At 45.6% G+C, this 25135-nt stretch overlaps 2 protein-coding genes across 24 annotated transcripts in view, besides 5 other annotated features; both read left to right on the forward strand.

The window, feature by feature from the left end:
- The window catches only part of CFAP97D2 (CFAP97 domain containing 2), a 43829-nt gene extending 33905 nt beyond the window's left edge, over nt 1–9924 (forward strand). For 2 of the 4 annotated variants that reach the window (NM_001437370.1, NM_001395230.1), the window contains one exon: nt 9337–9924. In NM_001437370.1, the coding sequence (NP_001424299.1) occupies nt 9337–9357 (21 nt within the window). In that variant the 3' untranslated portion in view covers nt 9358–9924. The remainder of the gene's footprint in view (nt 1–9336) is intronic. The other 2 variants (XM_047430025.1, NM_001395229.1) reach the window with 1 other exon arrangement.
- Nucleotides 13613–13907: a silencer, noted in NCBI's record as "tiled region #1096; K562 Repressive DNase unmatched - State 8:EnhW". NCBI's record gives its function as "represses a minimal TATA promoter and a strong SV40 promoter by Sharpr-MPRA in K562 cells {active_cell/tissue: K562}" and the evidence as "EXISTENCE:reporter gene assay evidence [ECO:0000049][PMID:27701403]".
- Nucleotides 13654–13883: an enhancer, noted in NCBI's record as "active region_8060". NCBI's record gives its function as "activates an Ori minimal core promoter by ATAC-STARR-seq in GM12878 lymphoblastoid cells {active_cell/tissue: GM12878}" and the evidence as "EXISTENCE:reporter gene assay evidence [ECO:0000049][PMID:35858748]".
- Nucleotides 15171–15672: an enhancer, noted in NCBI's record as "H3K27ac hESC enhancer chr13:114993807-114994308 (GRCh37/hg19 assembly coordinates)". NCBI's record gives its function as "activates a minimal SCP1, AML or CMV promoter by ChIP-STARR-seq in naive H9 embryonic stem cells {active_cell/tissue: H9 hESC(naive)}" and the evidence as "EXISTENCE:reporter gene assay evidence [ECO:0000049][PMID:30033119]".
- Nucleotides 21535–21584: an enhancer, noted in NCBI's record as "active region_8061". NCBI's record gives its function as "activates an Ori minimal core promoter by ATAC-STARR-seq in GM12878 lymphoblastoid cells {active_cell/tissue: GM12878}" and the evidence as "EXISTENCE:reporter gene assay evidence [ECO:0000049][PMID:35858748]".
- Nucleotides 21695–22054: a silencer, noted in NCBI's record as "silent region_5558". NCBI's record gives its function as "represses an Ori minimal core promoter by ATAC-STARR-seq in GM12878 lymphoblastoid cells {active_cell/tissue: GM12878}" and the evidence as "EXISTENCE:reporter gene assay evidence [ECO:0000049][PMID:35858748]".
- Nucleotides 21736–25135, forward strand: part of CDC16 (cell division cycle 16) — a 37827-nt gene continuing 34427 nt past the window's right edge. For 11 of the 20 annotated variants that reach the window (XR_001749714.3, XR_245358.3, XM_011534853.3 and 8 more), the window contains exons 1-3: nt 21736–21971; nt 23484–23538; nt 23638–23735. Coding sequence is in view for 15 of the 20 variants with exons in the window: in XM_011534853.3 (XP_011533155.1) it covers nt 21924–21971; nt 23484–23538; nt 23638–23735 (201 nt within the window). In the remaining 5 variants the exon portion in view is untranslated. Of the gene's footprint in view, nt 21972–23483; nt 23539–23637; nt 23736–24510; nt 24579–25135 lie in introns of all 20 variants that reach the window. The other 9 variants (NM_001330101.2, XM_047430755.1, NM_001318518.3 and 6 more) reach the window with 3 other exon arrangements.

The raw sequence follows: 25135 nt of genomic DNA on the forward strand, positions 1-25135 counted from the left end.
TGTGGACCATTATAATGTGGAAGATTGCTTTCCTTAAAATCCAGCCCATCATAAGGAAAAATATGTAGACACCAAAGATTAAATAAATGCTCCAGGACCATGGACCCCACCCCTGCACAAACTCCAGAACCACAGACCCCACCCCTGGACAAGCTCAAGGACCACAGACCCCACCCCTGTGGAAGCTCCAAGACCATGAACCCCACCCCTGCACAAGCTCTAGGATCACGAATCCCACCCCTATGGAAACTCCAGGACCACAGAACCCATCCCTGTGGAAGCTCCAGGACCACAGACCCCACCCCTGTGGAAGCTCCAGGACCACAGACCCCACCCCTGGACAAGCTCCAGGCCAATGAACCCCACCCCTGTGGAAGCTCCAGCACCATGAACCCCACCCCTATGGAAACTCCAGGACCACAGAACCCATCCCTGTGGAAGCTCCAGGACCACGGATCCTACCCCTGGACAAGCTCTAGGACCACAGACCCCCACCCCTGTGGAAGCTCCAGGACCATGAACCCCACCCCTGCACAAGCTCCAGGACCATGAACCCTACCCCTATGGAAGCTCCAGGACCACAGACCCCATCCCTGTGGAAGCTCCAGGACCACAGACCCCACCCCTGGACAAGCTCCAGGACCACAGACCCCACCCCTGTGGAAGCTCCAGGACCACGAACCCCACCCCTGGACAAGCTCCAGGACCACAAACCCCACCCCTATGGAAGCTCCAGGACCACAAACCCCACCCCTGGACAAGCTCCAGGACCACAGACCCCCACCCCTATGGAAGCTCCAGGACCACAGACCCCATCCCTGTGGAAGCTCCAGGACCACAGACCCCACCCGTGTACAAGCTCCTAACCCTAACCCTAACCCTAACCCTGAACGAGCTTCAGAACCACAGACCCCAACCCCGGACAAGTTCTAGGATCACAGGCTCTACCCCTGCGCACCTACTTGAAGTAGCACCTCATTGCCTTGCCCCCTGCAGTTTCCACAGGTATTTGTGCTGATGTCAGCTTTGCAGTGCTTCCTTCCATGCTTGGTACAACATCGTAAGCCCAGCTCTGCTGCTTGCTGGACATCTCTTATAGAATCCCGAAGAGTGAAGAGAACAAGTACCTGTGCAAAGACGCATGACTGTTAAGCAGCTACTAACTCTGAAGGCATTCAGAAAATCTAGTCTGCTTTGCAATTTACATTGAAATTTTAAACATTTCAAGTCCAATCAATTTTCTCAAATCTTTTAACTACAAAGCTAATATTTGCTTTCTGTAAACCATAAAATGTCAAACAGTATAGAGGGTGTAAGGAACATGGGAGTCTTCTCTTGGATGGCAGCCCCTGGAAGTAATCACTGTTAGCAACTTGCATGTGAACTTTGATTTTTATTTGTCAAGTACATATATTTGAGGTTTTGTTTGTTTGTTTGTTTGTTGAGATGGAGTCTCACTCTGTCACCCAGGCTGGAGTGCAGTGGCGCGATCTTGGCTCACTGCAACTTCTGCCACCCAAGTTCAAGTGATTCTCCTGCCTCAGCCTCCTCAGTAGCTGGGGTTATAGGCATGAGCCACTGCACCCGGCCATATTTGTTTGTTTAAACAAAAATGGAGTCCTACTCTACGTAGTTTTCTGTAAATTGCTCATTTCACTCAATAATGTATCATACAAATAGTTTCATTCCATACATGAAAGTCTTCTTCATTCCTTTTTTAGCAATTACAAAATATTTTATACAGATTTGCCTTAATTTATTTAATCAGTCCCCTAATTATTGAAATTTAGGTTGTTTTCAGTTTTTCGATATTCCAAGTGAAACTATGATGATCATCTTAACCCATATGTATCTTTACACAAAATTATGCTGTAACTTATATTCCTAGAAGGAAAATGGTTAAATCAAAGGTAAGCACATTTAGATTTTCAATGGATACCACCTAATTGCCCCCCACAAACAGTCTAGCAATTTTCACCTCTGCTTAAAGTGGTCCCAAAGTGTCTGTCTCCTCATAATTTTGCCAACCCTGGGTAGTAAATATATTTTTAAACTTTGGACCATCTGATTTCTTCTTGTATGAATTGTCTGTTCATAGCCTTTGACCAAATTCTTATCATATGTTACTTTTCGTTATTAATCTATAGTAAGTATATGTTATCAATATTTACCTTTTTTCTATTATCAATGTCATAAGTATCTCTTCCACATTATTACTTATCAATTCACCTAAGTTTATTTTAAGGTAGTCAAATCCATCAATAATTTCCCTTATGGCATCTGGTCTGTGTGCCATACACAGAAAGGGCTCTCTCAAGCTAAGATTATGCAAGTATTCTCCTGTATTCTCTTCTAATACTATAAGTTTTCTTGATTACCTTTCAGTTTTTAGTAAATATGGAACTTAATAACTATGGAATTTTTGTGTATTGTGCAAGTTAGAGATCAATGTTTATTTTTTCAGTTTATTACAAGTTATTAAAAATCAGTTTACAATGTCAAAAACTCTATTCTTCACACTTCATAGAAATTGTTCTCCAGAGATTTGTAGCAGTGCTTTCCCATGTCCTCACCAACATGAAGGGTTACCCGTGGGGGCACTCTTTGCTCATTTCACTGCCAAAAGCAGTGTCTGCTTTGATGCTGTCCCTCTTTGACTACAGGTGAGACGCTTTCTCCCTCACTATTCTCTCTCACAATGACAGATCACTGTGGTGATGTGTCACAATTCCATCTGTGGGCTGGGCTCAGGTAGGAGAGTCAAATTGCTCAGGTGCTTGGCAGAGGCTTATGTCAAAGTCAAACCTGCAGGAAGTTTTGGGGATGAGATTTAACAATCCCGCACATGTCTTGTTTCTAGGTATGAGAGTCAGCACCTCCTATATGTTGGGTCTAAGTACACAAGTCACAATCTCACTAGTGGACTGAATTCGTGCATGAGAGCCTCCCAGAGCCTCCCACCTCTTCTGCTGGCTTTGCCCTTGTGAAATCACAGCCCCACAGGTGTGCTTCTCCCAGCCTGTCTGTGTCTGCGACACTCCTTCTCCAGGGATCTCAGTGCTTTTATCCACATTGTCACCTCCACTGCCCTCCTCCCGGCTTGTTTTCAGACATCATTTTATTTTTTACTTATTTATTTTCTGTTATACTTTAAGTTCTAGGGTACATGTGTACAATGTGCAGGTTTGTTACATATCTATATATGTGCCATGTTGGTGTGCCTCACCCACTAACTTGTCATCTACGTTAGGTATATCTCCTAATGCTATCCCTCCCCACTCCCCCCACCCCACGACAGGCCCCGGTGTGTGACGCTAACCTTCCTGTGTCCATGTGTTCTCATTGTTCAATTCCCACCTATGAATAAGAACATGCGGTGTTTGGTTTTTTGACCTTGCAATAGTTTGCTGAGAATGATGGTTTCCAGCTTCATCCATGTCCCTACAAAGGACATGAACTCATCCTTTTTTATGGCTGCATAGTATTCCATGGTGCATATGTGCCACATTTTCTTAATCCAGTCTGTCATTGATGGACATTTGGGTTGGTTCCAAGTCTTTGCTATTGGGAATAGTGCTGCAATAAACATACGTGTGCATGTGTCTTTATAGCAGCATGATTTATAATCCTTTGGGTATATGCCCAGTAATGGGATGACTGGGTCAAATGGTATTTCTAGTTCTAGATCCTTGAGGAATTGCCACACTGTCTTCCACAATGGTTGAACTAGTTTACAGTCCCACCAACAGTGTAAAAGTGTTCCTATTTCTCCACATCTTCTCCAGCACCTGTTGTTTCCTGACTTTTTAATGATGGCCATTCTAACTGGTGTGAGATGGTATCTCATTGTGGTTTTGATTTGCATTTCTCTGATGGCCAGTGATGGTGAGCATTTTTTCATGTGTCTGTTGGCTGCATAAATGTCTTCTTTTGAGAAGTGTCTGTTCATATGCTTTGCCCACTTTTTGATGGGGTTGAATAAAGAATAAAAGAGAGAAGAATCAAATAGATGCAATAAAAAATGATAAAGGGGATATCACCACTGATCCCACAGAAATACAAACTACCATCAGAGAATACTATAAACACCTCTACGCAAATAAACTAGAAAATCTAGAAGAAATGGATAAATTCCTGGACACATACACCCTCCCAAGACTAAACCAGGAAGAAGTTGAATCCCTGAATACACCAATAACAGGTTCTGAAATTGAGGCAATAATAGCCTACCATCCAAAAAAAGTCCAGGACCAGATGGATTCACAGCCGAATTCTACCAGAGGTGCAAGGAGGAGCTGATACCATTCTTTCTGAAACTATTCCAATCAATAGAAAAAGTGGGAATCCTCCCTAACTCATTTTATGAGGCCAGCATCATCCTGATACCAAAGCCTGGCAGAGACACAACAAAGAAAGAGAATTTTAGACCAATATCCCTGGTGAACATCAATGCAAAAATCCTCAATAAAATACTGGCAAACCGAATCCAGCAGCACATCAAAAAGCTTATCCACCATGATCAAGTAGGCTTCATCCCTGGGATGCAAGCCTGGTTCAACATATGCAAATCAATAAATGTAATCCAGCATATAAACAGAACTAATGACAAAAACCACATGATTATCTCAATAGATACAGAAAAGGCCTTTGACAAAATTCAACAGCCCTTCATGCTAAAAACTCTCAATAAATTCGGTATTGATAGGACGTATCTCAAAATAATAAGAGCTATTTATGACAAACTCACAGCCAATATCACACTGAATGGGCAAAAACTGGAAGCATTCCCTTTGAAAACTGGCACAAGACAGGGATGCCCTCTCTCACCACTCCTATTCAACATAGTGTTGGAAGTTCTGGCCAGGGCAATCAGGCAGGAGAAAGAAATAAAGGGTATTCAATTAGGAAAAGAGGAAGTCAAATTGTCCCTGTTTGCAGATGACGTGATTGTATATTTAGAAAACCCCATCATCTCACCCCAAAATCTCCTTAAGCTGATAAGCAACTTCAGCAAAGTCTCAGGATACAAAATCAATGTGCAAAAATCACAAGCATTCTTATGCACCAATAGCAGACAAACAGAGAGCCAAATCATGAGTGAACTCCCATTCACAATTGCTTCAAAGAGAATAAAATACCTAGGAATCCAACTTACAAGGGATGTGAAGGACCTCTTCAAAGAGAACTATAAACCACTGCTCAACAAAATAAAAGAAGACACAAACAAATGGAAGAACATTCCACGCTCATGGATAGGAAGAATCAATATAGTGAAAATGGCCATACTGCCCAAGGTAATTTATAGATTCAATGCCATCCCCATCAAGCTACCAATGACTTTCTTCACAGAATTGGAAAAAACTACTTTGAAGTTCATATGGAACCAAAAAAGAGCCCACATTGCAAAGACAATCCTAAGCCAAAAGAACAAAGCTGGAGGCATCATGTTACCTGACTTCAAACTATACTACAAGGCTACAGTAACCAAAACAGCATGATACTGGTACCAAAACAGAGATATAGACCAATGGAACAGAACAGAGCCCTCAGAAACAATAATACACATCTACAACCATTTGATCTTTGACAAACCTGACAAAAACAAGAAATGGGGAAAGGATTCCCTATTTAATAAATGGTGCTGGGAAAACTGGCTAGCCACATGTAGAAAGCTGAAATTGGATCCCTTCCTTACACCTTATACAAAAATTAATTCAAGATGGATTGAAGACTTAAATGTAAGACCTAAAACCATAAAAAGCCTAGAAGAAAACCTAGGCAATACCATTCAGGACATAGGCATGGGCAAGGACTTCATGACTAAAACACCAAAAGCAATGGCAACAAAAGCCAAAATTGACAAATGGGATCTAATTAAACTAAAGAACTTCTGCACAGCAAAAGAAACTACCATCAGAGTGAACAGGCAACCTACGGAATGGGAGAAAATTTTTGCAATCTACTCATCTGACAAAGGGCTAATATCCAGAATCTACAAAGAACTCAAACAAATTTACATCATTTTATTTTTAATATCTTTGGGTCATTTTATTTTATATTGTCTCATAAACAGAATAGCATAATTTTGCATTTTAACCTAGTCCCAGAGGCTTTCCCCGCTCAGTTTTATCCATTTATATGTATTGACATAAGTATATTGTATTTGTTCTCATTTCTGGCTCTTTTGTTTTCATTTCCTTACTTTTCCTCCTCTTATATTAATACTATTGAGTTTTTCCTCAGCAAATGTCAAGACAGTGCTTGCAACCAATGTTTCAAATTTATACTTCATTTACTTTCTTTGGCTCTCTTATTCTTCCTGCTTTATGTAACAGGAAACAGATAAAGCCCACCACAAAAGCAATGTTAAGATAAAGTCAAACAAAAAAAGGGAAAACAGAAGCACTAGAAAGAGTTTCCTGCAGCCACAGACCAGTCACTGCACTTTATTGAAGTCCCCAGCTTTGGCAATATGGTTCAAGTGTAGGCTCCAAGACAGAGCTGGGGAGGGGCAGGCTCTTGCAGGACACTGGCTCCGAGGCATGCCTCCCCCACTGCCCTGTACCTGGACAAAAACGGGAAACATGGGAAACGACTCATTGTCTCTGAACCTCAAGCTGGAATTATGGTCTGTGTGTCCCAAGAAGATGGCTTTCTCAGCAGCATCTTTAAGCTCCTAGGGCCTTTGGCTCCTGTGTGTGAGGGAGGAAGGAGGCGATGGGCCCAGGGCCATAGGGTACCTCAGTCTTCAGTCCCCTTCTCTGCCATGGGGTCTGCAGTTTTGAACTACTGGAACGTGAATGCGTCTCTCGGTGGTGCTTCCCCACCTTGGAAACAGACCAGCCACGTACCAAGCTGGCGACGAGGGAGCACGGCACACACGTCTTCTCATTTTAGAAAGAAAAACAAAGTTAATTTATTTGAAAACTGTAGGTTTAGGAAAGAAAAATGCTAAGTGTTATGAGACCAGAAACCTGAAACACAGCCTTCAGAAGACCCTCCTGGGCCCAGCGGCCACCTTGACCTGCTGTTGGACCACCTCCCTATGGTTCGGCCAGCTGCCAGACCTTTGGGATCCGGGATCTTTGCTCTGGGATCTTCGCTGGCCTCGCATGGATGGGACACATCACTTTACCTTTATAGTCCCAGAAATTCATGACACTGGCAGAGAACCCCTTCCCTGCTCTCCAGAGCCCAGGCCCCTCTCCTCTGCCCCAAAGCTTCACCTGACGGAGGCTGTACTGCTAGTCTCCTGGATATCTCAATCTGGTTTAAATATTAACTCGCAAAATTTCTCAAACATTTTAAAGGAAGGATTTCAATTTTCCATCCTCCTTACCCCTTCAAGTCATTTATCCCTAACTCCAAAATGAGAAGATAATAATTTTGTACCTGTTTCTACTGAAGGATTTATATAAGATTATCCAACAAAACCCACTGGCCATCCTGGCACTTCCTGGAGCCCCCAGCTAACTGGAAGTATGCATTGCTCTAATTTAGTGCCCCAACCCCAATAACTCCTGCACATGAGAAAGAAGCAAAAATTAAACAAACACAAATGATCTCCAGGAGCAAAATTAGCTGTTTAAATAATCGGCTGACTCAGTGCAGGTTGACACAGGACACACAATGGATGTGAGTTGGCTTTGAGCTCCTTGGCCTCCAACCATCATCTCGGACAAAAGCTCAGCCTCGGGGAGCCCCATTCTCGCTTCTAAAGATGGGACAGGAACCACCTCCTGGACCTCACGTCAGGGTTAAGTGAATAACATTTGCAAAAATGACTGTGAAAGTGACTCACACTTGGCTGGGCATGGTGGCTCATGCCTGTAATCCCAGCACTTCGGGAGGCCGAGACAGGCGGATCACGATTTCAGGAGATCGAGACCATCCTGGCCAACATGGTGAAACCCCGTCTCTACTAAAAATACAAAAATTAGCTGAGTGTAGTGGCGTGCGCCTGTAGTCCCAGCTACTCAGGAGGCTGAGGCAGGAGGATCGCTTGAACCAGGGAGGCGGAGGTTGCAGTGAGCCGACATCGCGCCACTGCACTCCAGCTTAGGCGACAGAGCGAGACTACGTCTCAAAAAAACAAAAAAACAAAAAAAGTGACTCACACTTACTTGGCAAAAGATAAATTTGAGTTTCTTTCCTTTTTCCTCCTGAAGGCCCTTTACCATCCAGCAACAAGCCAACATGGCTCAGTTTACTGATTCCGGGAAAAGTACTTTGCTGCATTTCAGAAAGATGTTTAACAACAAAACTGACAAAAGGTTATCTGATTATTTGAATAGAGATTTCTCCCAACAGGATATACAAATGGCCAATAAGTGCATGAGAAGATGTTCAATGTTATTAGTAAATGCAAATGAAGACCACAGTGAGATGTCACTTGCAGCCACTAACTTGTCTGCAATCAAAAGGTAGATTACAATAAGGATGTGGAGAAACTGGAACCCTCATAGGCTGCTGGTAGGGGTAAACAGTGGTATGTATACATATGTAACAAACCTGCACATTGTGCACATGTACCCTAGAACTTAAAGTGTAATAAAAAAAAAAGGAAATGAAATAAAAGGTACACAAACTTAAAATGAAAAGAAAAAAAAAGAGTGGTGCAGCCACTTTGGAAAACAGTTTGGTAGTTCATCAAAAAGTTAAACAGTTACCAAATCACCCAGCAACTCCACTCCTAGGTCTATATTCGAGAGACTTGAAAACATACATTCATGCAAAAACCCATACACTGATGTTCATAGCAGCACAGTTCACAATGACCAAGAGGTGTAAACAACCCAAATGTCTATCAACTGATGAACAGATAAAACGTGGTATAGCCATAGAATGGAATATTATTCTACCATAAAAAGGAATGATACTAGTTACAGAATGGATAAACCTTAAAGACATTATTATGTTCCGTGAAAAAGCTGGATACTAAATGCCGCATGTTGTCTGATCCCTTTTATATGAAATGTCCAGAATAGGCACATTCAAAGAGACAAAAAGTAATCAGTGGTTGTCGGGGCTGGGGGAAGGGAAATTGGGGAGTGATCCCAAAGGAGTTTGATTTTTGGAGGGGGAGGTGATGAAGATGTTCTGAAATTATATTGTGACAATAGTTGCACAACTCTGAATATACCAAAACACACTAAAATATACACTATAAAGGGGTATAGAATTGTATCTAAATAAAGCTGTTATTTTAAAAATTGTATGTTTAATTCTAAGTAAAGACTTGTCAATGAGTTGAAATATTCCATTTCCCAAGTAAGTTGATAGTTTCTTGTTCTTGCCTAAGAAAGCGTTAGTTTCAAATATGTATTTTAAATCCAGCAGGAAGTGAAACTGGATTAGCAAGCGCACAGCCAAGCCTGGACCCTAAAAGAGAAGTGAGGAAGGGTAAGGATTCAGAACACAAATCCAGAAAGAAGACAAGTGTGATGAGGGAGTCACAAGGAAGACCCACAAGGCCAGCCATGAGCTCCCCCAGGCTAACACAGCCAGCGGTCTCAGGGCAGTGTGGGGAATCAGCCTTGCCCAGGGCCGGGGCCAGGGCAGCCCCGCTGTCTTCCTCTCTTCACTGTTATCACAGCCGGAGCAGCTGTGAAGTGCCCAGGAGGCAGCTCCTCAAACGGTGTTTCAACAATGTGCCCGAGCAGATGACGCAGCAAAACTATTTTCTGTGCTTCTTGGACTCTGATAACTGGAAACAAACTATGCAGAGTCATGTTAGGAGGTGAGGGTTTGAATTAGATTGTTTTCTCTAGCTATGAAGACTTATTCTGTTACTGTATTTTGAGCTGTGGTGGATTTGTCTATAATTCCTAGGTGGATTTTTAACTTACCTTAAAAGCTCTGTGATTGTTCCTTTAACAAATATCTAAATAAATCAGATTAAAATTTTTGAACGTGATGAAACTACAGCTTGACTCCAGAATACATAACCTAAGATATAAAAAAGACCCAGAGGGCCAGGCACGATGGCTCACGCCTGTAATCCCAGCACTTTGAGGGGCCGAGGTGGGCGGATCACAAGGTGAGGAGTTCGAGACCAGCCTGACCAACATGGTGAAACCCCATCTCTACTAAAAATACAAAGAAGTTAGCCAGGCATGGTGGCGGGCACCTGTAATCCCAGCTACTCAGAAGGCTGAGGCAGGAGAATCGCTTGAACCTGGGAGATGGAGGTTGCAGTGAGCCGAGAACGCGCCACTGCACTCCAACCGGGGCGACAGAGCAAGACTCCATCTCAAAAAAAAAAAAAAAAAGAAAGAAAAAAGAAAAGAAAAGAAAAGAAAAAAGGACCCAGAGAGTCTCGGTTGGAGACATCAAGGGTATGTCTGAGAGCCCTTGGGATCTGCTTAGTTCTCTATCAGCCCCAGGTAAGATCCCGCCTAAGCTGTTCCACAACAATGAACATCAGCCCATGGGCAATGCCTTTTAAAAATGAGTTAAAAGACTCACACACACCTTCATTCATTCAACAGAACTCTGCATATGTAGTCTCAGCCTCATGGAGCTGATAGCTAGCCCCTCAGAAATGTCACGGTCCCTAACTACTCTTTGCTATTTATTTATTTATTATTTTTATTTTATTTATTTATTTTTTGAGATGGATGGGATTACAGGCACATGCACCACCACTCCCAGCTAATTTTTGTATTTTTAGTAGAGACGGGGTTTCACCATGTTGACCAGGCTGGTCTTGAATGCCTGACCTCAGGTGATCTGTCTGCCTTGGCCTCCCAAAGTACTCTTTGCTATTTTTAACCTATATTATAGATTTAAATTTTTGTTTTGTTTTGTTTGAATGAAAATAAGAAGATAATTTCAGGCTGGGCATGGTATCGCACACCTACATTCCCAGCAGTTTGGGAGGCCAAGGTGGGAGGGTCGCATGAGCCCAGGAATTCAAGACCAGCCTGGGCCACATGATGAGACCCCGTCTCTACCAAAAAAAAAAAAAAAAAAAAAAAGAAGCAGCAGCTAATTTCATTCCTTATTTCATTCCTTTATGCACAAGCCCCTTTAAAATACACTTGACATGAATAGCAGAGCTTGCCTCCGGCTCCTCCATGCAGAATTCGGCAATCCCAGGTTCCTCACCGCTCCTCAGGGTGGACCTTCCATTGACAGTGTTTAAAATCACAGACTGTGGGGTCAGACAGGCCTGGATGTGGATTCTGGGTCTCCTGCTGATCCCCCGAGTGGACCTCCCGAAGCCTCTCCTGTGCAGCAGGTGGTGCTGGAGCCTGAGATGCCGGCATCGGGCCGGGAGGAGCTGGGCCTCTGCCCACTGCAGCCATGACCTCTCCAGGCAGCCCCGCCCCCCTGTGTCGTGAAGCGCAACTGGGCACAGGACCTCCATTAACAGTCCACGTCTGTGCTAAACTTGATGGAAAAAATGGCCTCTCCATAGCGATTTGTGTCCTTGGTTTGCAAGCCTCGAATTTGCACCTCCTTTTCGAGGTGGCAGTTTAGGGTTGACTCTGGCAGCATTTTCCGAATGTGCCTGCCTGTGTGTCCCCACCTTGTTCCACCCCACAAGGGTTGTGCTGTAGGAGTCCTGGCCTCTGCCAGCCCTCCCTGATGGGCCCTAATGCAATGAACGTCAAAGGATCTATCACAAAACTAGAAAGGCTGCTGTCTGGTCCTGAGAACATTGTTCTCTTTTCAATCTCTCTTTCCAGAGAGCAAACAGTTTATAAAGACTGACAAATTGCTACACATAGTCAAGAAGTAGACAAAATCTTGCCATTACACAGAAGAGCCATAATGTCAGCTCTTTTCCCTTCTGGACTTTGCTCAGAGAGTCAGTGGACAAATGAGCATCCTGCCAGCAGCCTTAGTGTAAAAACCAGCCACCCACAAGCTCTGATGACCTGAAAAGTCAAGTACCAGGTGCATTTTCAGATCCAGAGATGTGTCTGTCCCATGTTACTCTGGGTATCAAATTAATTGAAACCTATAGAACTTTGAAATGCTTTAAAACCATCATAAATATAATGGATGGAGCAGTGAGGACAGAAGCCTGTCTATCCTGTGTGAGGTGGGCACACAGGAAATACGTGTTAAATATAGAAAGGAAGAAAATAAAGGAGGGAGAGAAGAAGGGAGAAGGGAAAAGAAGGTAGAAAAGTAGTCCTATAGTGGAAGAGGAGGGGAAGAGACAGAAGGAGGAGGAGGAGGACAGAGGAGGGAGGGGGAGGGGGAAGGGCTAGGGAGGGGAGGAGAAGTGAGGGGGGAAAGGGGAGGGGAGGAAGGGGAGGGGGGAGGGGGGAGGGGAAGGGGAGGGAGGGGGAGGGAAAGGGGGAGGGGAGGGAGGGGGAGGGAAAGGGGGAGGGGAGGGAGGGGGAGGGAAAGGGGGAGGGGAAGGAGGGGGAGGGAAAGGGGGAGGGGAGGGAGGGGGGATGGAAAGGGGGAGGGGAGGAGAAGCGAAGCCGGGGGAGTGGAAGGGGAGGGGAGGGAGAAGAGAAGGAGGGAGGCAAAAAGGGGAGTGGGAGGGGACTGGGGAGGACGGACAAGGAGAAAGAAGGAGGAATAAGAATTGCAGGCGTGGCCCAGGCTGGTACTGGGGTGGGGGAAGGGAGTGCCCCCTGCAGAACAGGAGGCTGTTGCCCTAGGGTATGCAGGGCTCACCTGAGGAGCCTCCTTCATTCTGAGCCCTGAGCGCCTCCTCTGCCTCACTCCGGTCCCCACCCTGCAGTGGTGAAGCCAAAGTCGGTAAAGCAGTGGCTGCTGTGTGTTTTCTCCAGGTCAGTGGGACATGGGGCTGCTGGACATCTCAGCCCTTTGGCCGTGGCTCTGCCGAGTTTGATCGCCACACTCTTCCCTGCTGCCACCAGAAGGGTCACACAAGGCCACTCTCAGGACTCCCAGACCTCATCTGTCTCAGAGAAGAACGAGGCCACTATAAAAGGGTGATGTCTTTGGCCTTAGGGGGCGTGTAGGCCCCTCTGGTTGCGATGTGGATAGAGTTCCAGATGTGAGGGAATGTTCTGGAAATGCAACCTGGGCAGCTGATGGAGTCCAGGCCCTTCGGGTGCTAACGCTGTGAAACATCTCTGTTTCAGAAATGGGTGCCAAGCCTGGAGGGCAGGCTTGCTTAGCAAAGAAGGCAAACTCTGGTGAGCTACAGCTGGGTTCAGCACATGGGTCTGGTAGGGAAACACACATTGAAACGTTATTAAAACCAGCAAGACTGACACAGGCGGCAGACTGTGACGTCTGTCCCATGTTACACTGAGCTTGTTTTCAGGTCCGGAGATGTGCCAAAGCCGTGCCACACTGGGCTGGAGCCACTCGTGAAATGTCATTACGCTCACACAGCTGCAAAGTTCTCAGTATTTACCAACTAGGACTTTTCTTGTATTGGTATTTGTTTAATTGTCTTCTCTCCTCAACAGTAACTATAATGTCCTAAAACTCCGTAGACAATAAATAGTTCTTTAAAGACCAGATTTAGTTTTCATGTAACCTACAGGTTGGGGAAGGGGAACCACAAATTGCATTGACCCTCAAAACAGTGGCTGAAATGGAAAGAACTCCTTAAACGGAACCCTTGGGGAATCCATCTGTAAAGCCCCATTGCCTCTCAGATTCTGTGATCTGGGCCTCGAGACAACCTTCAGAGTCCCTCGCTGCATGAGTGCATGTCTGGTCAGAGACTTTCAAAAACTGAAATGCCCCAGGCCAGCAGCCATCCGCTAACAAGGACCGTGGAGAAAAGCCCATGGATGCGTGGAGAAATGGTGCCCACTAGTGGCGATCTCCAGAATGGACGTCCTGTGAAGTAGATGCCGCTGGCCGGCGGTGGCTCACACCTGCCAGCACCTCAGGAGGCTGATACGGCGGGGGAGTGTGGGGGGCGGGGCGCATTGCTTGAGTCTGGAAATTCAAGACCAGCCCGAGCAACACAGTGAGACCCTACCTCTACAAAACATACAAAAACTAGCCGGATGTGGTGGTGCCTATGGTCCCAGCTACTCAGGAGGCTGAGGTGGGAAGATTGCTTGAGCCTGGGAGGTTTAGGCTGCAGTGAGCAGAGATCACACCAACGCACTCCAGCCTGGGTGACTGAGGGAGATCTTGTCTCAAAAACAAACAAACAAAAAAGATCCGGCTGACTGAAGTACCCAGGCAAATTAACCAGACACTTGGAGATTTTCTCATTTTCTACAAGGCTGAGGAGAAATTTTAAGGAGCCCACAATTCCAACACCCCATCACTCTTTCTCATGTTTTTCCCAATATTTTCATCAAATCATAAATTGTGGCAAAATAATGTATAATTCTCAATACATACAAAGTAACTCAGAATAAGGAGGACTGATCAAGAAGAATGTAACCAATCACCAAGTGCCACATTCACTGAAATCAGCAATTCATAAGCATAGTTATATGTGTGGTGTTGGGCAGGGGGGCTGTGGTGTGTGTGTGTGGTCTGTGTTGTGTACACCAGTGTGTGGTGTGTGACGTCTGTGGGGTATGTGTGTGGTATGTTGTGTGTGGACTAGTGTGCAGTGTGTAGTGTGTCTGTGAGGGGTGTGCACTAGTGTGTGGTGTGTGTGTCTGTGGGGTGTGTGTGTGGTATATTGTGTGGAGTATGTCTGTTGGGTTTGCACTAGTATGTGGGGTGTGGTATGTTGTGTGTGGTGTGTGTGGACTAGTGTGCGATGTGTAGTGTGTCTGTGGGGGGGTGTGCACCAGTGTGGGGGGTGTGTGTGTGTGTGTCTATCTCCAGATTAGATGATTTCCTGCTTTTTTTCAGTGATATACTGCTGTCATTTTTAAAAATTATCCTCAGCACTATGTTTCAGACAATAATGATAACATGTCTTGGCATAAGCAAGCTGTGTGTTAATAAAATATTTTTGACACTGAGCAACACCTGTAAGCATTGCAAACTATCCAGAGGCAGTTGTTTTTTTCACACATCACTGTAGGAAGCTTTTCCTCATTCATCTTATGGGCCCTCACTCACTGCGTTCCAGCCAGACTAGGTTTCTTTGCATTCCCTGAATGCCCTGGGCCTTCTCCCACCTCCACTCCCTCCCCTATCCACTGGTTCAACCAAATCCTTCAGTTCCATCTTGGCGTCCGTTTGAGGACCGCCACTGTGGCCTCCACAGGCGTCAAGCCTGTGTTCGCAGGGCCCTCCACAATCTGCACTCCGTCACCCGCTCCTGGCAGAACACTGGCACAGGAGACCAAAGTACACGTGGATGAGTCAATCAGAAGAACAACTTGTACTAGAAAGTGCTTTCCCAAATTTGACATCAAAATTGAGACCAGTGAACACTTTCATGGCTCATGACAAAGTTCATATCCACCTAACACAAAACGAGGGCATTATTCAGTTAATTTGATATACTAAAAAGATAATCAGATAACCAGCTAGAGATTATGACACTTCTGAATTGGCTGTTACCCTCATGTCGACGGGGCTGGACCCGTGTCTGTGGACAGCAGTCTTTGAGAAGCTGCAGCGGGAGCCTGTGCAGGATGACTAGTGTTGCAGTGTCCTGGGGGTGGTGGGACAGGATGCTAGGAAGAAAAGGCGTCCGGCACCTCAGGATGCTCTGTCCGGGTGGCTCAGCTTGCTTCCCGTAGCCTCCCAGTCCTTTTACTGAAGTTTCAGGAGGTGATGCTTGGGACGCCAGGCCTGGCAGATTCCTCTCCAGGCTTCCCTTCACCCCGCAGAGCTTCCCCGCACTGGCAGAACTCGATCACTGCCACCCAGAGGGCATTGTCTCTGAAGAGGCATGGAGAGTGGGGAAGCTGCAAACCCCAGGCTGATGTTCTTGGTGTCCCCACAGCCTGCTTTTGCCTTAAAACCCCAGGTATACTCACAAATGGGTACAACACCCAAGAGGCCATTGTCAGCTCAGGGACTTGGTTTTAGGTGCGGCTTTGGGAACTTGCTTAGGTAAGTTAGCCTTGCTGGGTCTTATTTTCCACATCAGTAAGTGCCACGAAGCTTAACATTTATAAGCCAACAGAATGCCTCAATTTTAATTAACAAACATTAATTATCAATCATTTTTTACCTGGATGGAGGTTAATTCAAAGGAAAGGTATTAACCCAGAGGGTTTTTCTTTTTAAGAGTGTTATTGTGGTGCCCATGTCCCGGCGGGGAAGCTCTGAGCTTCCTCTGCCCAACTCTGCAGGCGACGCTTATGGCCCCGTCTGTGGCGTCCAGGTGCACCTGGACAGGTCTCCAAGGCAGCGCTGGAGCAGATTTGCAGCCACAGGGTGTGGAGAAATGCAAGATGAATTGAGACTTGATGTTTGGATAGATGTTAATTCCAAACTTGAGAACTGTCTTTGTAAAATGACAACAAAGACGTATCTGCCAATCATTGACTTCTTAATCACTGCCTTTGCTCTTTCAAAGCCTCAACATTTTGCAGTTTCAGCCAACAGAATTCTCTAACTTTGTAAACTGCTCTCCTGTGGCGACAATACCACCTCACTCTAATCAGTGAGAAGGGTGATTGTTCTCTCTTCCTTTCAGAGTAATTTAAATTCTTGAGAAACCACTTGGCATGTTTAATATTCTGGTCATACTGAAAATCCAAGTCTTGTTTTCCTGACCGTATTTCAGGAACTAGTTTAAGGACGGAATTATCTTTTAAAACCACAAAACAAAGATTTTTACACACTGAATTTCACAAAACTCAGTATTGCAGAATTGCAAACATGCTCTGTGACTCAGTCTCCAGGGCTTAACTTCCCCCTTGTAGTAACTTTAGAGGGTCCTGAAATTTTAGCTTCTTTAACAAGGGCAAATACTGGGAGAGAATGTAAGGGGAGGAAAATAAACAGAATGTCTTCTGTTAGACAAGCCAGCCTCTGGCATGTACACATTTGGCAGAGTTCTAATTTTGTTTGCTAACCTCCGATCACTACCTGAAATGGGTCTCTGCAGGATATCAAGGTGTCAGCAGCGCTGTGCTCCTGGAGCATCTAGGTGAGAATCCCGTCCCTGGCCTTTCCCAGCTTCAGGAGGCCACCTGCACTCCCAGCTCACTGTTCTTCCTTCTTTCCTTCCTCCATCTTCAAAGCCAGCGGCGTAGCGTCTTCCAGTCTCTTTGACTCTGACCCCCCGGCCTCCCTCTTTCACTTGTAAGAACTCTTGTGATTACATCATACCCACCCACATAACCCATCTTAACTTAATCACCCCTTGCAAAGTCCATTTTGTCGTGTGAGGTAATACACAATATTTATGAGCCCTATCAGTTTAACCAATTAGTAAGTGTGGTAGAGGAAATACAACGATGGAAGGTTTAACCTGAGGAAAGAAAAATAGCTCAGAGCAGTCTGAACTATTTGAAGGATGCAAAATGTATCAGGACATGAGTGTGGGACTAACTTCAGTCACTCTGCTCCCCATGCCACAGGGGCAATTGTTTAAGGCATTTTGTTCCTGACTGCTGTGTCACCCATTATTTTCATGTTTCTGGAGTCTGTGAGACAAAGAAAAATGTATAGTCAATCAATAGCTTACGTTGTTTTAATGTAAATTTTTGATAAACAACTCAGGAACTGCCCTTTCTTTCCTCCTTAAACCCCCCGCCCCCAACCAGGTACCTGCTGCTGGTTGGGTGCATACTCAGGGAAATTCAAATCTGTGCTCCCAGGTGGTCATCCTCAGGGCTTGTGCTCAAATAAACTCCATGCTAACTCGTATTTTCTGAATCTTTCTATCTAAGGTTGACAAACCTAAGGGGCATCATTCTAAAATCAGTAAACATGATTTTGCTGTAGGCTATTACAGGTATAGAAGGGAAGAAAAGCACAAGAAATCTAACCAAATATAGAGACTCCAGGTCATTCTATTAGAATGTGATGTGGTTTGGATCTGTGTCCCCACCAAAGCTCATGTGGAATTATAATCCCTGCTGCTGGAGGTGGGGCTGGTGGGAGGTGGTTGGATCGTGGGGGTGGAGTGCCCATTGCTGCTGGCGGTGGGGCTGGTGGGAGGTGGTTGGATCGTGTGGGTGGAGTGCCCATTGCTGCTGGAGGTGGGGCTGGTGGGAGGTGGTTGGATCGTGCGGGTGGAGTGCCCATTGCTGCTGGCGGTGGGGCTGGTGGGAGGTGGTTGGATCGTGGGGGTGGAGTGCCCATTGCTGCTGGAGGTGGGGCTGGTGGGAGGTGGTTGGATCGTGGGGGTGGAGTGCCCATTGCTGCTGGAGGTGGGGCTGGTGGGAGGTGGTTGGATCGTGGGGGTGGAGTGCCCATTGCTGCTGGCGGTGGGGCTGGTGGGAGGTGGTTGGATCGTGCGGGTGGAGTGCCCATTGCTGCTGGAGGTGGGGCTGGTGGGAGGTGGTTGGATCGTGCGGGTGGAGTGCTCGTGAAGGGTTTAGCACCATCCTCTACTTGGGACTGTATAGTGAGTGAGTTCTTGTGAGGCCTGGTTGTTGAAAAGTGTGTGGCACCTGCCCCCTCTCTCCCTTTCTCTTGTTCTGGCCAGGTAAGTTGTGTCTGCTTCCCCTTCGCCTTTCGCCATGATTGTAAGTTTCCTGAGACCTGCACAGAAGCAGAAGCAGCTATGCTTCCTGTACAGCCTGCAGAACAGTAAACCAATTAAACCTCTTTTCTTATAAATTACCCAGTCTCAGGTGTTTCTTTTTATCTTTTTTTTTTTTGAGACGGAGTTTCACTCTTGTTGCCCAGGCTGGAGTGCAGTGGTGCAATCTTGGCTCACTGCAACCTCCGCCTCTGGGGTTCAAGTGACTCTCCTGCCTCAGCCTCCCGAGTAGCTGGGACTACGGGCATCTGCCACCATACCCGGCTAATTTTTTGTAGTTTTAGTAGAGATGGGGTTTCAGTATGTTGCCCAGGCTGGTCTTGATCTCCTGACCTCACATGATCCAGCTGCCTCGGACTCCCAAAGTGCTGGGATTAAAGGAATGAGCCACCGGGCCTGGCCTCAGGTGTTTCTTTACAGGAATGTGAGAACAGGCTAATACAGAAAATTGGTACTGAAAAGTGGGGCATTCGTATGAAGATACCTGAAAATGCGGAAATAACTTTGGAACTGGGTAATGGGCAGAGGTTGGAAAAATGTGGGGGGCTCAGAAGAAGACAAGAAGATGGGGGAAAATTTGGAACTTCCTAGAGACTTTTAAATTGTTGTGACCCAAATGCTGATAGTGATATGGAGAGATGGGCAGGCTGATAAGGTCTCAGATAGAGATGAGAAACTTACTAGGAACTGAAGCAAAGGTCACTTTTGCTGTGCATTAGCAAAGAACCTGGCAGCATTGTGCCCCTGCTCTAGGGATCTCTGGAACTTTGAACTTGAGAGTGATGAGTTAGGGTATCTGGCAGAGGACTCCTGAAAGTGATTTCTGTTAAATCTCGCCCTGGCAATATTAATTACAAATTTACCTTCCAGGTACAAAACAAGGACAAGATGAGATTAGTCACTCTTCTGCCTACCCTGATATGGGCTACATAACTCTTTCCTCTACTCCCTCTTGTCAGATGTTTGCCTCATCTTATGTAAATTGTTGGTTTACTGAGCACTAATCAGAGCATCACTGTGGACCCCTCCCTTTTTTTCCTCCTGCTTGCCGTCTCCTCCTAAACACCCAGTCCCCATAACCCTATTTGGATGGCACAGTTGATGCTTCTGTGGCTTGCGTTTTTCCCGGGCCCATCATCAGACTTCTACTGATGGAGACATTTGCCTCAGTCACTCATTTTTGGTTAACTAGGAATCTCATTAAATGGATAGAAGTCGTTGAAAATATGGCTTAAAACACACCTCACCACATGCCTGCCCCAAGTTAATGAGCAGAGTTGATTACTGCCTGCTTGCAGAAGTGGGAAAGGAGGAGGAAAAGGAAATATACAGGGGGACAAATTTTTAAACACAACTTCAAAATATTACCCAGTCATATATGTATACACACACATAGAAAATTACACGGCAGATTACTTACAGTAGCGTGAGAGAATTTTTGAGTGGGTGGGATTCTTTACAGCAAGTTTTTTTTTTTTTGCTTCTTTGAATTTTTTTTACTCTTTTAGGTTTTTATATTTATAAAAGTTATATTTACTTTTTAAAAGTGTCAACCTTAATATTGAGATTCAGAAATATGATTACATATAGTGTGTATTTGAGCACAGAGCCTGAGAATGGCCACCTGGACAAATGGGGTCAGCCTTTCCAAGTGGAGCTCAGGTCTCTCTTACCAGGCGGAGACAGAAGCTCCAGCAGGATCACCACAGTTCTCATATGAGACCAGGGGCACACGCCGCAGCGGTTCCATTGGTTAGGGATCTCTGTATTTGAAGGAAGATTGCGTTATAACTCCATGAGGAGGGGTAGTGATCTGAGGGGGTCTTATCTCCGGTGCCATTTGGTCTTTATTGTTTACAGGGAAAAAGGCAGAAGTTACAGCTGGGTGTGGCATGACCTAGGCCGCGTAGCCACATTCCCCTCAAGGCTCAGGTAATTCAAAGTTCCAACAGCTTCAAGTTTAAATTATTTTAAGTTTGAATGATTTAATTTCACAAAAGGTAATATATGCACATTGACTGAAATTCAAAAGCACAAAAAGATATCCAAGGAAGTACCTCTCCCACTTCTACCATCTCTCATCTTCCAGCACTCCTTCCAGAGGCCTTGCGCTATGCCGGTTTTCTCATTTTTCCTTCCTGGGACAGTTTAGGGATTTTTCTACCTATCATTAAATTCGTATTTTACTCAAATGCAGGCATACGATAAACACGATCCTATACTTGCTTTTTCCCACATACTATATCTTGAAGATCGTTCAATGTCCATGCAAAGCTGACTGTTCTTTTGAACAGCCAGCGAGTATTCCATTACGTGAGCGTATCATGACCTATTTACTCAGTTCCATACTTCATGGGTGTTTAAATTGTCTGCAATCTTTTGCTATTACAAACGAAACCACAGGTCATTTTGCACACATGCAAAAATGCAAATCCATGGTATATTTCCCAAAATAAAAATCATTAGGTTTAACAGCACGAACACCTTTAAATTTGGAAGATATTCCAATTCGTTCATCCTAGAGAGTATACCAATACCACTCACAAAACTTGAGGGTGCCTGCTTCCCGACATTCCTGCTAGCAGTGTCATCAACCTTTGTGATCTTTGTTAACATATGAAAAGTGGTACTCTAATTTTAATTTTTATTATGAATTAAGTTGGACTTTCTTTCGTATGTTAAAGTCTATTTGCATTTCTTTCCCTGTGAACTGTTTTTTGCCTGTCTTTCTCCTGAGCCATTGGTCTCTTCCCACTGACTTATTACATATATGTAAAGGGAATATTGGCTCTACATTATAAGGAAATTCGAATTTTGTGATAGGTTTCAAATTTTTCCCTAGGTTGTCTTTGACTTCATTTGCTGTTTGTGCACACAATTTTTTTTTTTTGTAATGAGAGTGCGTTGCTCTTATTTTTAAAATGTTGACTACATTCTGGGGAAAGAAGGCTCAGCAGCCACCTGCTTTTTTGCCCGGGTGGGTGGTCCGGCCCCGAGCCCTCCTGACTCTCTCGCCAATGCCCAGAGGCGCCGCAGCGATTCCAGGGAGGCCGCGCTCTCGCCCCAAGGCAACCAGAAGCCCACGTGCCAGGAGAGGCATCGGAACCAACAACTCGGGTCCGTTTTCCCGCGCCAGATGGGATTCGTTTGCTGTGGACTTCCGGGGCGGGGCCTGCCTGGAGCGGAAGAGCCTGGGCAGTGCACGGGGCCTGGGTGGGGGGTGCGGGTGTGGGTGGGGACCTGCGGCCTTCGAGTCCGCGGCCTTCGAGTCCTGGGGCGGCGGCGGCGGCTGCAGGCACGGGCACGGGCACGGGGCGGGGTGCTTAGGGTGCAGGAGGCGCGCGCCTAGCGGCGGAGTGTGGCGTGAGGCCGGGCCCGCGCCGCCATGAACCTAGAGCGGCTGCGGAAGCGCGTCCGGCAGTACCTCGACCAGGTGGGCGGCCCCGACTCGGGGTGCGGGGCCCAGGCCTCGCCGGGTCTTTTTCCGCGCGGCGTGGGGCTGGGGTGACTGTTGTCGGGGCTCTTGGTGGGGAAGGACTGGGCCGGCCCTGGGCCTTCATCTGGGGCCAGCAGCGCTGTCTCCGCCTCGCCCAGAAGGGAGCGGTCCCTGCAGCTGGGAGGGGCACAGCCCGGGGAGTGGAGGCCCCCGAGCGCACGGGGCGCCTCAGTCGGGTCTGAGCCTCGTTCTGCACCTGGCGCGGAGGAGGTGCCCAGGAAACACTGACTACTCAGTGCAAGTTGAAGGACAATTTTTGGAGGAAAGTTGCAGGGCTAGCTAATAAAACATTTTTGAGAGGTTTAGTTGTAATTTTTACTGGGCTGAATTTAAGTGAATAAAGATGTGAAGAAGCCTGTTGTCTCAAATCAATACTTTAAAAATTCTCGTTAACTATGTCTGTGTTCTCTGCACTACCTTTGAATAGCAGAGAGCGTTTAAGGCAAGAAGTGTCTTCGAGAATCAGCAGCATCAGTTTTATCTATATTGTTGTTTATTTTTTGTTGAAATGCTTGCTCTTTCAGGAAATTGGAAAGAAAGGGAAAGAAAAGCCATGGTAATGCAGAGTTTTCGGAATTGGGTGCTAACTGACGTGGCCAAATGTTTGCAGTCCATTTGGAGGGCTGTGTTTTTATTTACCATGAGTCAGTTGAATTCAGTGTTTTCTGATCACTTTTTCTTCGGTACGGAGACGTAGTGAGGAATATGACAGGCCCGGTTTCCAGCCAGAGACACCGGTATTGAGCATATTTATAACTATCCCGTTGGCATTCCTCCTGCCTCGGGCTAGCAGCAGTGGTCCTGGCTTGTCTCCAGGGGAACTGAGGCAGAGACTGTAGAAGACTGAGGACTGAGGAGCAGAACAGGGTCTAAAGCTAGCCGTAGGTCACTGTGGGTGGCCCTCATTGTCGGCTCCTTCATTTTTGTTAGACTTGGAGGAGGTGAGTTCTTCCCCATGTTCAGTGAAGCTTAGTTAATTTATGTGTGTGTGTTTTTAAACTTGAGTGTTATTAAAACTGCCACTGTGTTATATAAGGTATTTGAGTATAGTGTTCTGTCTTCTAAATTTCACTTTGGGATTCATTAACAGCTCGTTGAAAGTGTTATATAAATCACACATGAATTGTTAATGACTAGCTTTTGCTGTTTCACTTGCATTTCACTTGTATGTTTCACGATACATTTTTACAGTGTATGAGTTTTAAAAAATTACCTTCATAAGTTGCATATACAAAGATATTACAGGAATGTTTGTATTGCGACACTGAACTAAAATTTACCCTACGTGAGATGTAAGATAGAGATGTAACAAATTGTTGTCTTGAGATGAAGATTTATTACATAGAATTATATTAATATATTACATAGAATTATAATAATATTAGATAACTGTTTAAGACTATTAAAATAACAGGGCAGTTACCACCTTTTTTTTTTTTTGGTATGCAGCAACAGTATCAAAGTGCTCTATTTTGGGCAGATAAAGTAGCTTCACTCTCTCGTGGTAAGTGACAAAATGCTAACTGGTTTTCTGATTAATCTTAAAATTCGTTTTCTATTTCACCTTGTACCTCTGACCACTTATGTGAATTTTTCCCTCCAGAAGAACCCCAGGACATCTATTGGTTGGCTCAGTGTCTTTACCTGACAGCACAATATCACAGAGCCGCCCATGCACTTCGGTCACGAAAACTGGACAAAGTAAGTGATGGTATGAACTTTAAAGCTCTTCAGAGCTTTAAAAAAAATGTCATTAGTGGCCGGGCGCGGTGGCTTACACCTGTAATCCCAGCGCTTTGGAAAGCCAAGGCAGGTGGATCATGAGGTCAGGAGCTCAAGACCAAGATGGTGAAACCCCATCTCCGCTAAAAATACAAAAATTAGCCGGACGTGGTGGCAGGCGCCTGTAATCCCAGCTACTCGGGAGGCTGAGGCAGAGAATTACTTGAACCTGGGAGGTGGAGGTTGCAGTGAGCTGAGTTCGTGCATTGCACTCCAGCCTGGACAACAGAGCAAGACTCTGTCTCAAAAAAAAAAAAAGTCATTAGGGTTTTAGGTGTATATTCCATTTCTGTTGAAATTATTTAACTTGATGCAATTTTTCTTTGTTTTTGTTTTTTTGAGGTCTCTCTGTGTCACCCAGGAGTGCAGTGGGATGATCGTGGCTCACTATAACCTCAGACTCCTGAGTTCAAGTGATCCTTCTGCCTCAGCCTCCCTAATAGCTGGGACTACAGGTGCATGCCACCACACCCAGCTAATTTTTAAATTTTTTTGGTAGAGACAGAGCCTCACTATGTTGCCCAGGCTAGTCTTGAACTCCTGGTCTCAAGCAGTCCTCCCGCCTTGGTCTCCCAAAGTGCTGGGATTATAGATGTGAGTCATCACAGTAGGCCCAGTTTTTTTTTAGTGAAAGTGAAGGGAAAATGTCTTATACCTAATCTGTCACCTTCTTTTTCCCCCATCTCCCATCTAGTCTCTAAATTCTGAAGACTGTTTTCTAAACAGCTCTGGAATCATGGATATTCCTCTTCCTCCCCACTCGTACGTGTCAGGCCTTTGATTTTTTTGTCTGTTCTGTTACAGCCTCTCTTCTTGTCTCTTTTCCCCAGTAACAGTTTCTCTCTTCTTATCTTCCCTGTCACAAGTTCATCTTGTGAACTATTACAGGAGTGAGTAGTCTTTAAAACACGGATGTGGTTATATTCCCACAAAGTCATTCAGTGACTTCCCATTAGCTGCAGGATAAAGTCAGATGCATCAGTAGGTCTGTGAGGCCCTCCTTGTTTTCTCTCCACTCTGCGTCTAATCCACCACCATCAATACCTGGAGCACGTGCTCCAGTCACGTGGTGCTGCTGTGAGCTCCTTGGACACCCAGCAGTTATTCACACTCAGGGCCTGAAGTGGAGCTGCTGCGATCTCCTTGGACGCCCAGCAGTTATTCACACTCAGTGCCTGAAGTGGAGCTGCTGTGAGCTCCTCGGACGCCCAGCAGTTATTCACACTGAGGGCCTGAAGTGGAGCTGCTGCGATCTCCTCGGACGCCCAGCAGTTATTCACACTCAGTGCCTGAAGTGGAGCTGCTGTGAGCTCCTCGGA

The sequence above is a fragment of the Homo sapiens genome, chromosome 13 (assembly GCF_000001405.40).
Source record: "Homo sapiens chromosome 13, GRCh38.p14 Primary Assembly".
In the NCBI taxonomy this organism is placed as follows: Eukaryota; Metazoa; Chordata; class Mammalia; order Primates; family Hominidae; genus Homo; species Homo sapiens.